The sequence below is a fragment of the Homo sapiens genome, chromosome 4 (assembly GCF_000001405.40).
Source record: "Homo sapiens chromosome 4, GRCh38.p14 Primary Assembly".
NCBI classification, from domain to species: domain Eukaryota; kingdom Metazoa; phylum Chordata; class Mammalia; order Primates; family Hominidae; genus Homo; species Homo sapiens.
The window spans coordinates 23,808,374-23,825,131 of record NC_000004.12 but is presented as its reverse complement, the minus strand read 5'-3'; the positions used below and the strand labels follow the sequence as shown (position 1 = coordinate 23,825,131).

At 38.0% G+C, this 16,758-nt stretch overlaps 1 protein-coding gene across 28 annotated transcripts in view; it reads left to right on the top strand.

Moving 5' to 3' along the window:
* Nucleotides 1-16,758, top strand: part of PPARGC1A (PPARG coactivator 1 alpha) — a 680,885-nt gene that overhangs the window by 647,774 nt on the left and 16,353 nt on the right. For 20 of the 28 annotated variants that reach the window (NR_148981.2, NM_001354827.2, NM_001354825.2 and 17 more), the window contains 5 exons: nt 624-669; nt 779-852; nt 10,527-11,442; nt 12,007-12,111; nt 12,265-12,385. Coding sequence is in view for 21 of the 28 variants with exons in the window: in NM_001354827.2 (NP_001341756.1) it covers nt 624-669; nt 779-852; nt 10,527-11,442; nt 12,007-12,111; nt 12,265-12,385 (1,262 nt within the window). In the remaining 7 variants the exon portion in view is untranslated. Of the gene's footprint in view, nt 1-623; nt 670-747; nt 853-4,493; nt 4,698-10,526; nt 11,443-12,006; nt 12,112-12,264; nt 12,386-12,801; nt 16,234-16,758 lie in introns of those variants that run through there. The other 8 variants (NR_148982.2, NR_148983.2, NR_148985.2 and 5 more) reach the window with 3 other exon arrangements.

The following is a 16,758-nucleotide window of genomic DNA, read 5'->3' as shown; positions in this document are numbered from 1 at the left end:
CCTCTTTGCAAGTCTACACACCTTTCAACTGATTAACATGGTGTTTTACTTTAGTTGTCTATCAGATTTGGGGATCTGAACCCCTTCTAAACCATCTGGATCAATGCCCACAATTTGCCATCATCTCTCAATTAATTTTCAGTGAGTGGAATAGTTACTGCATGAGCTTTGGCCTCATAGAAATAACTATTATCAGGGCTAGATATAAAATTATACGTTTTAGGAGTAAAATCAACTGAATATTCATAATGTTCTGTCGCCTTATAGTTGCTCTGCTGTTTTCTTGTCTAAACAAACCGTGTACTGTATTCCAAATTAAAATAGAAAACATTATTTCTCTCTGATGGTATGATGCAAATTTTGTATCTGTAACAGGGAGGGTTCATTTTTGGAAAAATTCTATTTTCATATGTGTTTTCGAATGGTAGTTTACTGATGCAAACGCTGTTTGGAATTTGTTTTAGCATAATGGACTTTTGTCTGACTTTGATTCAATATTCAGAGAATTCCTTAGTTTAGTCTTTGAGTTTTCTGGTTGTTTTTCCAACTTGACTGTTGTGGAGAGAAAAGAAATCTAAAAGACACTCAATATTACATAATTAGTTTCTTTTTTTTTTCTTTAGCCAAACCAACAACTTTATCTCTTCCTCTGACCCCAGAGTCACCAAAGTAAGTATTAAGAAATGTAACCATTTTCTGAAAGGGAAGGGGGTTCTAATACATTTGGCTACAGCAACTCCATTTCAGTTTGTTTTTATAAATGTGCCATATCTTCCAGTGACCCCAAGGGTTCCCCATTTGAGAACAAGACTATTGAACGCACCTTAAGTGTGGAACTCTCTGGAACTGCAGGTAAGCCTTATATTTCACTTAGAACTTGTGTGTGTCTGTCTGTATATGTGTGTGTGTGTAATAAGATAACAGAGTGTACTGTCTATGTGGTTAATGAAATTAACAAAGAATACAAAATTGGATAAGAAGTTATCTGCAAATATTTCCAGTTGTTTATTTAAAAAAAAAAAACTAATAAAAAATATTGAAGCGCTTAAAAAACTTAGACTAACTGAAGAGCTCTTAGGCAAACTTCTGAGTTGGTTGCAAATGGTGCCCTTGCACTAAGTGCTTTAAGTTTAGGTACTTGAACCCCACCAAAAAGTGAGTCGTGGGATGTCTAAACAAGAAATTCCTTGGCTCTGGCCATTGCTGATAAGGTTAAAGGAACAGTACATTAAACAAGATGCTTTGAACCAGAACTATGGTGCCTACCTGCACCGTGGTCATTGTTGCTAGTTTAATTTCACACTTTGTGTTTGCTAAATTACCTTCTTATGAAAGGTCTAATGCATGATTGCATGACTTGGTCAAGCAGTAGAGTAGTTAATTTCATGGTGTAGATATATAGTGTATGTGTGTGCAGACTCACACATATGTACATATATACATATTTTTATAGGCATGCACACATAGACACAAATCTTTACTTATAAGCATATACTTAACATCATTTCTTAAATACATAACACTATTTCTTAAATACATTATAACTTACATATATGTTTAGGAGTAGCTTTTGTGTGTATATATGATATGCAGTAGAGGCCTTCTTATCTGACCAGTGAGGACCAGCAATTGGTGGGTTTATTAAAAAAGTTGATTCAAGCTTATACTGTTTTATTTTACCTTTGCTTAAAACACAAAAATATACATTCAAATATTACAGTTTTGGTAGAAGATGGAGATCTTTACCTTAAGCTTATTTTTTACTATTTGGGGGTCTATTGATTCATCTTTCTTGTATAAACCACACTAATATATTATTATATAATACATATTATAGATGGTAGCCACTTTTTATTGCTTGCTCCTTGAAGGAAAAGATTAGAGACATTGGTATGGTAGTCTGAATTCTTCTAGATTTTTATAATTTTTCAAATATTTTCCAATTCCACCCATCCACAACTAATTTGATAACACTTCTTTTAGCAATGACCTTTTTTGAGTTTTTTTTTACAGGAATATTTTTCCACACTCACATTTCATTCATTTACAGGAGATTTTACCATCTTACATAATTTCAATCACCAGTACAATGCACATGAACTGTTTAGTCTATTGGGGTACTGAGACACATTGATAAGTAGCATGAAAGCAAATATTATTTACTGGATATGTTCCACCACCTTCTAACAAAGGTAGGCCCAGAAAGCAGTTTTTAGTTTGTTGAGTGTGATTGTAATAGCTGTACAGATATAAATTGGGGAAGCTGAAGTAAAGCCCAATTGCATTTATGTAACAGAAGTGATTTAGAGCTTTGGAAAGCAAGGAGATGAGGACTTGAAAGATGCTGAATGAGGCTAGAAGGTAAAGTTTGGAACCTTCCTGGAGAATAACATAAAGAGGAGATTGAGGGAGATTTGTTTTTTCTCTAGAGATATTCTGGGCTTGAAATGCAGTGCAACATATAATGTCTACAATTGTCATCTCCTCTTAAAATCTTCAGCAAAATTGGTCGCTTAGTAGTGTTTGAAGATTGTGACAAACACTAATTGTACCTAGAAAGAATCACAAAGGGAGAAAAAGAGTTATCAAAGGGAAAACACTGCAGCATAGTTCAAGTTTAAAGACATTGATTGGCCAAAAGAGTTTTTTAAAATGATAAAGGCAGTTAAAGGACTGACAGAAATATTTAGGCAATACTATCATCCTAGTGAATGACAGAGGTGATTCATGGAAAGGAATGTGGAGGAAATTAAGCTCTCCATAGGCTAACCTGACTTGGAGAGCCTTCAGGGAAAACAAACAAACAAAAAAAATGCACAGATTTTGAAGCGTAGGGGTGGAATGGAGAGAAGATGTTGATGGAGCAGAAGCAAGAAAGCAGGAAACCAAAGGGATGCTCAGATGACAATGAATTTGGCAAGGACTGTGAAATCAATAAGGAGCAACAAGATGGCACACACACTTTCCCTCCTGGATCTTTTGATTGCTAAGACTCTTTTCTACATCCTTGATCTCTTGTACACCTCAGTTTCCTCCATTTCAAAGTCATATTCATAACTACTGATAAAATTGTCTACTCAAAAGACTAAAATATAGGTTGAAAAATAAAATTGCCAGTATGCAATCATTTTTGACACACAAAAATGGAATTTTATGTGGTTCGATCTGAAGTAAAACAGTTTATAAGCAGCAAAGCTTCAATTAAAAGTAGTATATCGTGATTTTAAAGAGCAGATGGCATAGCTTGGTGAAGTTTACAAAACCTTGGCTTGGATGTTGGGCAAACCCAAGTTTAAATTCTGAATGACCTCCCATCTAGTGTGTGGCCTTGGTCCATTTACTTAACCTCTGAAAGACTAGGATTCTTATGCATGATATGAAGATGGTTACAATACCTACATCTCACTGGGTCAGTGTGAGGATTAAATGAGATAAAATATGAGTGCCCCCTTATTATATAAGTACTCAATAAATATTAGATATTTAATTACTAATTCTGAGTTAACTTCATTTGCAGTGGTCGTTGTACCTTACTTCTTATCTTTCCAACTTTTGACTGGTTTCACCTCTTCCCTTTTATTGCCCTTGCTGTGTATCCTCTTTGGCAATCTCATATATGAAGTTATTTATTCTTTTTCTGTGCCTCCCCCACCCCCTACTATTTTCACATCAAATTGAACAAATACTGCTTTTGGTGTAGGTATGGAATTTACCAAATCAAGGCAGAACACTCACTGATTTGAGATTCTCTCAGCAACAGCTACTTCTATGACTACAATTTCTGGCAATCAGGCACTCCCTAAATAGGTACTTCACATACAGTATCTTCCTTACTTTCTGCCCATTTCATTGTTGAGGAAAGATTTATACGTTGACACAAGCTATCTAATGGACCCTGGGTTCAAAGCAGGTCTGCCTGAAGAGAACTTATATCTCTTTCCTGAAGTCTGAATTTTAAAGATAGTAATTGACATATGTTATGTTAAATAGGCTTCATTGCACTTGCCAAGTGTCATTGATTGGTACTGTCTGCCAGGAGCATCGTGTTGAGAAAGATTCTAAGGCCAAGTCTGTGCTCATGGGGAATGTCATGATCAATTAGTGATGTCTACCATAGGTGCAGCAGGTGGGTGGCAAGGGTAGAAATAGCATTTATATTGGTGGTTTGTTGATCCTTGGTCTACAGGCTTAATCAGTTTGACTGCAGCAGCAGAAGTGACCCAAGCTTTGGCTCAGGCCTTCTGGTGTCTTCTTTTTCTTTACTCTCACAAATTTTGGTGAAATTTTCCAAATGTTTAAGTGGAAATGTAAGGAGTCAACAAAATTCTAAGACCTCCAGAATAATGCCTCTGCCCCATCTGCAGTGTCTTTGAGAAACAGGAGGGATGAGATAGGAAGTTTGCTTTATTAGGTATTGCCAGCTGGTCTGACTTCTTTGTGATTGTCCTAAACTAGCTCATTTTGGCTGATAAAAAAACTCTTCTCTTTTACAGGTGTAAAAACTAATTTGATTTCAAAATAGCTGTTAGTAAAGCAAGATGAGAGAAAAGAGAATGCTCTTTTGGCAGAAGGCATTTAAATCTATTGCATATGGAGATTTTCAGAGTGCTACACTTTTTTGTTTCTGAAATGGGAATGGCAAAGCAATGTCAGCTCAACAAGGTGACGGTTTAAACCACAGACACGAAGGAATTTGGGTAGGGACCAAAGTGACCCCAAAATTTTATGTATATGTATATATAGTTTTTATTTGTTATTACTGTAAACATTGTAACAGCAGTAGAACTATTTTATAACTGATAAAATGAGAAGAGCAAAAAATATAATCAGATGTCATCACCCTAAAACAAGTAGGCCTTCATAATTTTTTTCTCCATTGATATATGTTTTTCCACATTATTTTCATCAGAGGGGACATGTGATTTGATGTTATTTATTTTTTACTTAATTTTTTCTCTACGCTTTAATCAGCAGTCATTCAAAGTGTACTTTAGTAGACTCACAAATAAACAACAACAAAATACTCATTAACCAATTTGTAACTACCACTTTTATGTTGAATTTTACATTGCCTTTGTGGACTCTCAATTTAAAAGTTCACTTTGCTGGAAAAATGTACTGACAAACAGCATAAATATTGACAAACGGCTGTAGCCTTTTGGCATACATACTCCTTGTGTATGTGACATATCTTTGGGAAAGTGGACCAAAGTAAAATATGGGTAGTTGTCGGTAGTTTTAAAAGGAAAAGCATAGCATCAGAGAACTGGAAGGTGATTTTGACAGGCCACATAATCTATTCCTGTGCTTCAAGAATCTAAGAAAGGAAGACCCAACAAATTCTTTTTACAGCCCATTCCAATGCTTGGCGACTCTTACTGTCAGAGATTTCTTCCATATTTCAACCATATTCTTCATTTTCTATTTTCAATTTCATTCATTTTGACCCAGTGTCTATAATGACAATTCCTTTATTCCTAATTTTTCTTCTCTGGAAATGGTACCATCCTATTTCTTGTAAGCCAAGGATAGCAAAGGAATTTTCTCTCCCACATCAGCTTTGGGGTTTGGCAATAGCCACCTGAAATGCCAGGTTCCCCTTACCCATCCTCTATCCCAGCTCTGTGGGGAATTTACACAAGGGTCAATTAATGATATCTTCATCTTCCATGAGCAAGAGTTGGGGAATTAGGCTTATGTCATAGGAATGTTCTGAAGCTTTTCTCCAAGGCCAGTTTGTTACCCAGTAACCAGGGGTGATAGGAGAAATACTTAAAATGTACTGGAGGCAGGCCACTCCCAAATGGACTGTGGCCAGCCAGAGGACCAGCAGGGTCTGTTGGATAGTCTTCTGTGCCAAGTGTGAACACTTCAGTTGCTGGGTCTTGTGGAGCTCCAGTGAGTCCTGGGGAAGTAGGTGCAGAAGGAGAGAACACTAGGGCAGCTTTTATCTACTGAATATTTTAACAACTGCTGTAGAGGTAACGGTTGGTACTCAGTGAATATCAGCTTTCCCTCTGCACTCTTGACACCCACTCCAAATTCATGAGGCCTGAAATATGTGAGTAGGACAAGTCACACACCTCTCTTTGCTCAGTCTTCCTATTTTGGTGTGTTTTTAAGCAACTTAGAAACTCATCTCCTAATTTTTTTTTTCTTAAATACCTGAATTGGCATGCAACATATGCAAAATCCCACTGTTAAACAAACTTGAAAGTAAGTTGCAGATTTTGCAGTACATTCTGCAAAATGTTATAAACTCCAAAAAAAAAAAAAAAAAAAAAAAAAAAAAGATGCCATTGGTGAATAGCACATCACAAGAAACAGAGCCAGGGACTCACCATTTATCAGAGTCATTCAATTAAACAAACAAACCCAAAAGAAAACTCCTCCAAGAAAATCGTTTCATAGCGATAATGAAAAACAAAACAAAACTTGTCTTTGCCTTTTTTTTTTAAATAAAAGGGCTGTTTAAAAAGATGACTGTAGAGTATGTACCACTTCTCCCAGATTTGCTGTGCAGAAGTGCGTAAGTGTGAGTGATGTAGAGGTGCTTGTTTATTATGGAGCACATTTCAATGCAGTAATCATAAATATTGCTAAGGTTGTGCTCTGTTGAAATATGACCTACATACTCTTGATTGTTTGTGTTATGTGATTTGTCTGACACCCATTACATTCTGGGTAATAGCAGCCATTTGTTGCTCTGCACAGCAGGCTCTTTTGACAAAAGAAAATAGGCGGCAATAAAAAAGCTATAGTCTGAATTACATTCTGCACCGAGCTGCACTGCTGAGAGTTTGTGCAAGTGTGTTAACAATGCTCGGAACTGCCTCTTGTCAGCCTTCAGCCTGTAATGGCCATCTGTCCTCACATAAATCTGTCAAAACCTGCTAAGTTCAAGAGAGAGCATGGAATATACCTTGTACTGTCAACACCAAAATGTACACATTCCCCAGAAAATCAACACGCAGGAAATAATCCAGAGGTTATGGGAGGCATTAGCACTGTTGATTTGGGCTTGTGGCATGAAATCGAGAGTCCAGAGATTAGTGGGAAGATGAGCAAAGGTAGTGGCATCAAGGGATTGAGCACTGACCTCCCTCTTACTTCAGGGGGGAAAGTTGTGGGTAGCGGAGGTGAGGCTAGAGAAATAACAACTAGTTCAGAGGCAGCAAGGGGTTGCCTGTCTCATCAGCAGCTCTGAAAAGTTTAACACTATGTTCAAAGAAAGAAACATACTTCTTGCACCTTTGTTTTGTTTTGTTTGGCTTTGGGTCTCAACTGTATCTGGAGATAGGCTTTCCATTAGGGAGGCACTTGGTGATAGGAAATCTTGTCATCCGTGAGATTTCTCAATCTTGCTTTGAGATATTCTCCGGTTAGAGATGTTTCAGTAAACAATGAAGGGTTTAGGGAATTAGCCAAATTATTTTTCTCTCTCCATCTACTCACTAATCTTGAAATATCTTCCATTCAATAAGCAAATATTACCTATTTGTTTCAACAAATGGTGCCCGCAGAAATTTCCAGCCCTTATATTTTTACTCACAGGGCATATTTGATGGTCTCTGGGTGTTTCCATCAATTTTAAGTGTATATGCAGAAAAATATACTTATGTCAAATTTTAAAGAAGCGCTTTTCTATTAAAATCGATTGTGAAGTCCCTGGAGGCTGAGTCCCTGAAATAGCAGTATCTGGTGTCATATCCAGCACATAGTAGGTGTTCAACGAATGTCTGTTCAATGGCCACAGGCTGTCTAATGTGTGACAGAGGTAAAAGGCTTTGTTTTTAACCCAAAGAAAGTACAATCAAGGTGTCGCCACTCCCCAGAGCAACTTGAGAACCAGTTATTTAAGCGATAATGAGCTTGGGTACTAGGACAAGGGTTTCAAATTTTCAAGACTCAGAAGGATTTCTATATTTGAAATCCCTAGATACCTGAGCTATTTTTAGAACCAGTCGCTCTTTAATAGTGGCCTAATTTGGCGTTCCTGAAGTTTAAGGTTTCTTTTTATAAATCTAAAATATCTGTCAAGATATGTATACCTGAGAGTACAAAGTGGCGTGCGGCAGACACTCTAGGGCTGGGGTTCTCAGATGTGGCCTGTGAAGCATCTCATTAAAAATGTTTACCCGGTTTCCCAAGTGATTCTTGGGCTGCTGAAATGTGAGACCCACGACTAAAGGAGAATCTAGAAAAAATAAAATTAGTACAAAATAATAATGCAACAAATGTGCCCAAGCAACATCCTGCAAAGCGCTTATAACTGATTTGGAAAGACAAGACATAATTCACATTCGAAAAGAGATAAGCAAAAATGTATAGTAATATGTGATTGGTATCAATAGAGGGATCCTGACAGTAAATTACTAAAGAAGTAAAAATTACCCTAGCTTGGGGTGATCATGCAAAGATTTACGGAGTTGGATATGAGGATGTTGAATGCCATTTCCTCCAATTCAAGGGCTATGTCATTGGACATATTTGATTGGTATTTACTCAGCAAAGAGAGATTATTCCTCATTATTTCTTTAAGTATCTTAGGCTCCTAGGAGGAATATTTGAGAATGTGCTTTTTTTTTTATCTCGCTGGGAATTGCAAGTGGTAATTGAAGGTAGCATGTAGAAGAAATCAGTATGCATGAATAAGGCAGTGCAATTCGTAAATAAAGCAAGTGAAAATGGAGAGAAAAGATAAGATTGACCAAATAGGAATTTATTAGGTTGAGTAAAAGACATACTTATCTATGAGAGAGGAAACAAGAGTTGAGTGTGCCTCAGTGGCACAGATGTTTCATTCAGTCATGTAAGTCACTTCCTTTGCTACAGCAAAGAGAAGGGCAAAGAGCCATCCAAGAGCAGCTGTTAACAAAGGGAAGCCTTTTTGAGACTCAGGTGTGACCATGAGTGGAGTACAGTGTCCCATTCACTTTGTGTTTGCATTTCTCTGTCTTTCTGAGATTTTCTGAGTTGGAACTCCGAAGTCAAACCACCTTGCATTTGTATACCTTTTCTTCTCTCAGGGAGAATTAGCTTTGAATAATAAAAATTGCCAAATATTGGTGTAAAATATTTCACTTTAGAGAAAACATTCATTCTTTCCATTTCTTAATTATAAAGTAGGAGAGTGAGGCAGCATCTTCCTGTTCATATCAAAATCTCATGTGGCTTTCTGTGACCTACTTGGCTCTCGATATATGTGTGTTGTGTATGTCTGTGTTTATTTTTTTTCCAGCAAGGTAGCATTTTTTTCCTTGCAACTTGCCTTAAGTCTAACCCCAGGCTTGTTAGCAGACTTGAAGTTCTTTTTGCTGAATGGTATTCACCCCGCCTCCTAAACAGAAAATGTATTGTAAACTAAAATGCTCCATTGTAAGCGTAAACTCATTTGAACTCCAGCCTGCCCTTCTTCAAAGTTCCTTGGACTCTGGAGCCACTTGACAATGGTTCTTCCTCGGCACAAACGGATGAGTAGGGCTTACTTGGGGGAAAACTCAACAGAGGAAACTACTACGCTTCACGGACTCTCCCACAGTGGTTTCTGATGAAATGTTCTGCCCTCCTATAGAAAAGCAGAAAGAGCAACAGCTGATGGCTGTTCCTCTTTCTTCCTTTTTATTTATTTAATTAGTTAGCTGCTGAAGCTTGGCTGAGTTTCAATCCCTCAGTCTCATAACCCTCCCTTATGTTGTGCTCTATATAAAATGGTCGGCTGGCACTGTGATATTTAGTGTTACTGTTCACTTAGGTTTCTGTTGCAGAACCATATTTTAGACAGAATGTATTAGTTATGCTTACAAGAATGTATTATACCTACATTAGCCATGGTTTACTAGGTTAATGAACTGTGGCGACAAAGAATCACTGCCGTTAAGTTGTAGAGTTGCTCTAGGTCCCTGCATTCGGCTGTCGTATTTCACTGAACTTACTTTGAAGTTGCTTATGTCACTCTCACCATTGCCCCATATTTCCTGTCATCCCATCTTTTTTTTTTTTTTTTCTTCTAAGTTGCTTAATTCCTTGGCTCCAAGGGTAGATTCTCTTGATTGGACAAAGACCCCTGAGCTGCTTGCATCCTCTGCAATGTTCTTTGCAGACAAATGCTACCAAGGCTATTCCGTGATTCCTCAGTCTCACTTTGTTAATTTTCCATAAAGCAGCCCATACAATCCCCTTGAAAATGCAAGCTTTGGTAATAATGCCTAGTTCCGTGCAGGCCAGGGGTGATGCATTCATGTTTTCTGGGAAGCAGGATTTGTTAGCATTGGTGTTTGAAATACAAAAGATCACAGCCTCCTGCTCAGCACTGTAGATCCATCTTTTCTTGGTGACAGAGGCTTAGGGGATGAGTCAGTTTTTCAGGCCTTGTCATGAAATTAGTTTCCTTCTTCTTCACTCAGTTTGAACCCTTGTCTGAAATCTTGGAAAAATTAGAAACATGTGTCTTCGCATTTAAGAACATTATCTCTGTCTCTTTTCTTTCTCTCTCTTTTTTTTTTTTTTTTTAATTTTTGCCTTAGGCCTAACTCCACCCACCACTCCTCCTCATAAAGCCAACCAAGATAACCCTTTTAGGGCTTCTCCAAAGCTGAAGTCCTCTTGCAAGACTGTGGTGCCACCACCATCAAAGAAGCCCAGGTACAGTGAGTCTTCTGGTACACAAGGCAATAACTCCACCAAGAAAGGGCCGGAGCAATCCGAGTTGTATGCACAACTCAGCAAGTCCTCAGTCCTCACTGGTGGACACGAGGAAAGGAAGACCAAGCGGCCCAGTCTGCGGCTGTTTGGTGACCATGACTATTGCCAGTCAATTAATTCCAAAACAGAAATACTCATTAATATATCACAGGAGCTCCAAGACTCTAGACAACTAGAAAATAAAGATGTCTCCTCTGATTGGCAGGGGCAGATTTGTTCTTCCACAGATTCAGACCAGTGCTACCTGAGAGAGACTTTGGAGGCAAGCAAGCAGGTCTCTCCTTGCAGCACAAGAAAACAGCTCCAAGACCAGGAAATCCGAGCCGAGCTGAACAAGCACTTCGGTCATCCCAGTCAAGCTGTTTTTGACGACGAAGCAGACAAGACCGGTGAACTGAGGGACAGTGATTTCAGTAATGAACAATTCTCCAAACTACCTATGTTTATAAATTCAGGACTAGCCATGGATGGCCTGTTTGATGACAGCGAAGATGAAAGTGATAAACTGAGCTACCCTTGGGATGGCACGCAATCCTATTCATTGTTCAATGTGTCTCCTTCTTGTTCTTCTTTTAACTCTCCATGTAGAGATTCTGTGTCACCACCCAAATCCTTATTTTCTCAAAGACCCCAAAGGATGCGCTCTCGTTCAAGGTCCTTTTCTCGACACAGGTCGTGTTCCCGATCACCATATTCCAGGTCAAGATCAAGGTCTCCAGGCAGTAGATCCTCTTCAAGGTAAACCTTGGCAAAACCCTAATAACACAAAAGGTGTTCCTAAGAAGTAAAAAATAAAATAAAATACAAATAAAAATTTGAAATCTGCAGCCATTCTGGCCCCTGACCACTGCAATTCTGGCACTGCTGGAACTAACGAGAACATTGTTACACTCACATCTCTCTCCATGTTCTCTTAAATCTGTCACCTCTGAGCACAGTGCCTTGAGCCAGTCCTATCAGAGAGAGCAATTTGTTAAGAAACTTGCTCATCCAACTTTTTCCATTACCTGGAGAGCTGCCCTGTGCCAGGATAGTGGAGATCCATGCAAGATAAAGCTGACAGTGTACCAGACCTGGTGCTCAGTGTTAACATCAATAAGAGACGCTGAGAGAGAGCACATCACTCCCAGCCCTCTAAGTTGACTAGATGATCACAAACTGTCACTGGGAAATCTCCCTAGTAGCTGGGAAGAAAAAGCCAGTCTCTGTAATACAGTGTCCCAGAGGATGCTCCACAGTGCCGATAAACTTGGGTTAAGTGGCAGTTGCAAATGCCCTTTTTGCTTTTCTCCTCTGGCGCAGATCCTGCTATTACTATGAGTCAAGCCACTACAGACACCGCACGCACCGAAATTCTCCCTTGTATGTGAGATCACGTTCAAGATCGCCCTACAGCCGTCGGCCCAGGTAATGAGGCATGTCATTTTCCTTTAGCTCCCTTTATCCCCTCCTTGAGATGACAAGATGTTCTCCAAAACCCTATACCCCTCCCCATATTATTATTCATTTTGCTCATGAAAATTGAGGTGGTTGACTTAGTGATAAAGTTATGTTTCCCAGGTATGACAGCTACGAGGAATATCAGCACGAGAGGCTGAAGAGGGAAGAATATCGCAGAGAGTATGAGAAGCGAGAGTCTGAGAGGGCCAAGCAAAGGGAGAGGCAGAGGCAGAAGGCAATTGTAAGTGGCCTGGAGCTCACTTTTATTTTAAAGTAGGGTTTCTTCTTTTTCTGTGTGCTTTTTTTGGTGATAGATTAGAAAATAAACAAAAGCTAAGTCTTTGTTAGAACAGGCCATTTTCAGCCTTTTGGCTTTAAAATATCCATAAGTCTTCGGTCCCCATTGACCTAACTTATTGGAAAACAAAATGTTTAAGTCAGTATATTTCTCACTCACAGTTTCATTTTGAAGTTCATTACTGTTTTCACCTTCTGTTTTGAAAAATGGAGGGAGTAGAGATTTTTTTTTCAGTCAGATATTTGTTCTTTCTGATCACAGGATAAGTTTTTCTTTCTGTTTCCTGTTACTTCTCTCTTTGAGCGGAAAATGAGGAGGGATTGCTATCTCGTTTCAGTTTTTGTCTTTTTGGCCGGCAGGAGACTTAAATTGTCCATGAAGAGACTGAGTTCAAGTTGGATTTAAAGGAGCAGTGGAGGAAGAGTTGCTAAGAAAGTCATCATTTCTGGCCAGGCACGATGGCTCATGCCTGTAATCCCAGCACTTTGGGAGGCCAAGGCATGTGGATCACTTAAGGCCAGAAGTTTGAGACCAGCCTGGCCAACATAGGAAACAGGAAACGACATAGGAGACAGGAAACCCTGTCTCTACTAAAAATACAAAAATTAGCCAGGCGTGGTGGTGCATGCCTGTAATACCAGCTACTAGGGAGGCTGAGGCAGGAGAATTGCTTGAACCAGGGAGGTGGAGGTTGCAATGAGCTGAGATCGCACCACGGAACTCCAGCCTGGGTGACAGAGTGAGACTCTGTCTCAAAAAAAAAAAAAAAAAAAAAAAAAAAAAAAAAAAAAAAAAAAAAAGTCATTTCTTCTGCGTGATGGTCGTCATCTAACTGGGTAATTGACACACCCACATTTCTTATGAACTACTTTTCAATGACATTTTATGGATTTCAGCACCACTTACCAGGGGGTATTATATTAACTTGACATATAGACAGTGCTGACCCTTCTGTGTAAAGATCCACGTTATGTTATATTTGTTTGCTGTCTGAAGATCAGTCCTCATTTTCAGCAGCTGCTGACTAGTGGGTAGGCTTTACCCCAACTCCCTACCGCTGTTTATCAACCTAGACTTTGGATGGCAAAAATAAGTCAGTCCAGTTGTCAAAATCCAGCCCATGCCCATGGCAGACATTCCTAATCGATAATGGAACTCTTTCCCATTGAGCCCCCTCAGAGCCTTACGGTCTTTTCTGACATGATGCTCTAGGGAGCCATGACTAATCAATGAGATATAGCACTGCTTTTATTCAGTGCAGCTGCTCCCTGTGTGCTAGCCACTCAGAGTTAGCTCAGTGAAGATCAGCTTTTGACATATCTTGCATCTAAGCTAGCCAAGGCTTAGGGAAATGATTTTTGACTGTAAAGGTTAGATTTATGTGTTATCTTTAAAAAAACTCACTAACATCAACACAATTTTGCAAAAGCTATATAAAAGAGCTGACTAATGGAATCAAAATCAAGCATTGGCCAACAGTTACCAGCTGGAGGAAAAAGGTTAAATGAGAGATTTGTTCAACACAGGCACTTAAGGAGAAATAAGTGAGAAGTAACTGAACACTTAGGTCAAAGTTTTGGAGGGTTTGCTGCCATTTAACTTTGAATCTACCTAAGACTGACTCAAAGGCATTTTGCAAATTACAACAATTTGCCTCATTTTTCTCAACTTCCAAATGAGCAGTGATATTAAGATTTGCCAAAGTGTCATTAGTTAACACTTACGAAGACTAATGAAAATTAAAATTCAATTTTTCTAATATCACTGTATTTAATTAATGGCCTATTCAATAATTATAATAACTCACATTTATATAGTGCCATATAATTTACAAAGCCTTTTAATATGGCACATTATAATCATTACAAAAGAAAATCATGCTGAGCGAACATGTAGGAAAATGATTATTTTGGTGTTTGCAAATTTATATTTTATAAAATCCTTCATTTTTCCCCCAAAAATAGGACATTAAAGAGAAAGATTAATAGTTTCATCATAAATTTGCTTATATGGCCATGACACAACACAGTTGTAACTAAAGCCAGATTAATATTTTAATCAAAAGCATGTAAATAAATGATGTGTTTATTTTATGCCTTCTAAAGATGATTAAGTGCCAGATATTAATAAAGAAAGGAAGGGAGGTGTCTTTTTTGTTGCTAGTTCGGCCCTTTACAGATAGAGCAAGTAGTGTCATTGGTCTAGATGACACAAAATCACCCTGAGGGTCACCAGCCTCAGCTTGGAAGCAGATGCTACCCTGTTGTCCCTTTGTGTTACAAATGTTGACTAGTTCCTCTGTTAATTCTTAGATGAAAGTAATCTGTATCAGTTCTCTTCCAAAGAGCACTTGTAATACAAGTGTCAACTTGATTTTTATTAAATCATTTTACATTAACTAGACATTTGTGAGAATTTTGGCTTTAAAATTCGCTTTTGTTTTTGAAAAGTAGATTGAAGGAAACCTAGAACATAGAGATTGTTTACCAACAGAGTGGACTATAAGTGATAAGTGCTTAATAAAGATTTGGGACTTACTGTTTAACCAATTTCCACTTGGACAATTACATGCTGTTTCTATTGAACATGAGTGAAAGCTCATAGCTCTTTCTGTAATAAATATTTGCCATTTGGTTGGGATATAAAATTAGGAAAGACATCGTCCCTGTATCCAAGGAGCTTCAACCATACTGGCAGATAAAAATACACAAACAGGCAATACAGTGTGATAAGTGCTATTATAAGGGGTGCATCTGTGGCACTGTTGGGGTGGTATATTGGGGGCATCCAGATCTATATATGAAGGAGAACATCCTCAGAGAGGGTATAAGACTGATCCAAATCCTAAAGGGAGAAAGGACAAAGATTTTCTCCACCTGCAGCATCCAATATGGTAGCCTTTAGCCACACGGTTAATTTGATTGGGCCATATTAAGATGCACTGTGTGATTGGATTTAGAAGACTTAGTATAAAAAAATAGTGTAAAATACTTCATTTATCTTTTTATATCAATCACAAATTGATATAATAGTTTGGACATGTTGAGACCAATACAATATATTATTAACATTGAATTTTTCATATTTTTACTTTTTAAAATGTGGCTCTTAGAAAATTTTACATGACATACTGCATTGTATGATTACTGGACATTGCTTTTTTAGACAGCGGCTATAGCTTATACTAAGTCTCTAAAAAAGAATAAGGTATATTGAGAAACTACTAGTCGTTTAATTGGAACACTGAGACACAAGAGGGGCAAGAAATAAGTCTAGAGGGAATGGTGGAAGATAGCCTAAAGGGTCCTATAATTCATGCTAAAGATTTTGAAAGCTATCTTGAAGGCATCATGGAACTATTTAATGAGTTTACCTACATGAATTTTTTTTATTGATTCCCTTCCTCCAAATAGTTAGCTTTCTAGTACCATAATGCATCCCCAAAGTATATTTTTATGGACTTGAGTGCAGGGATACATGCAATGATTTTTAACTGATTTGAAAAAATTAGCTTGAAAATTCATACATAGAAGAGCTAAGGGAACAAGGACAGTCCAGACTTAAGTTGGTCAGGTACATGATGTTCTTTCAATGTTTGAAACAACCTTAAAGTAATGAGTAAGAAGCAAATTACATTTAAGATATCTTGGGGTCAGTGTTGGGTTGTTCATTAATCAAAGCAATCATATATTTAGGGAACCAGAAAAACAGAGACTCCAAAAGGCAATGAAAAAAAAAACCTTCAGAAATTTAATAATTGTTATTTTACAAAATTAAAGTCATCTTTTTAACCTTTGTCTGCATTACTTCTATTTTGAGTTCCATAAGTAGGAGGTGTTTTAGGAGATCTATAAACTTTTCATTGCTTATGTTTCTAAAATCCTAATTCAGCCCAAGTTGAGTGAGCCAAATCCAAAAACAAAGAGAACACTAATAATTAGTAATTACCAATGCAAAATCTTATATTGTGGTTGAATGTTACCATTGTTTCAGTTGGCACTTTCCTGTAATTTCCATCCTGACTCTTTCTCAAAAAGCAATTCACTTTCTGCCTTTCTCAGACTCGTAAGCTTGAAATAATTCAGGTTATATTGGGACTCTGCAAACCAGAGTTTAGTACTTAGTGTCTAAACTGTCACTGCTCTAATTTCTTGTGGAGTTCTAAGTCCAACTCCATTTGCAATCTGTACAGTTTTCTGCCAGAAAACATGATAATGGGATGTTAATTTAAAGGGCAAATCTAGACATTGTGATATGGCTCAGCACTCAAAACCAAAACTAGATGTGCTCAGGCGGCAATGACTGCTGCTTCACTT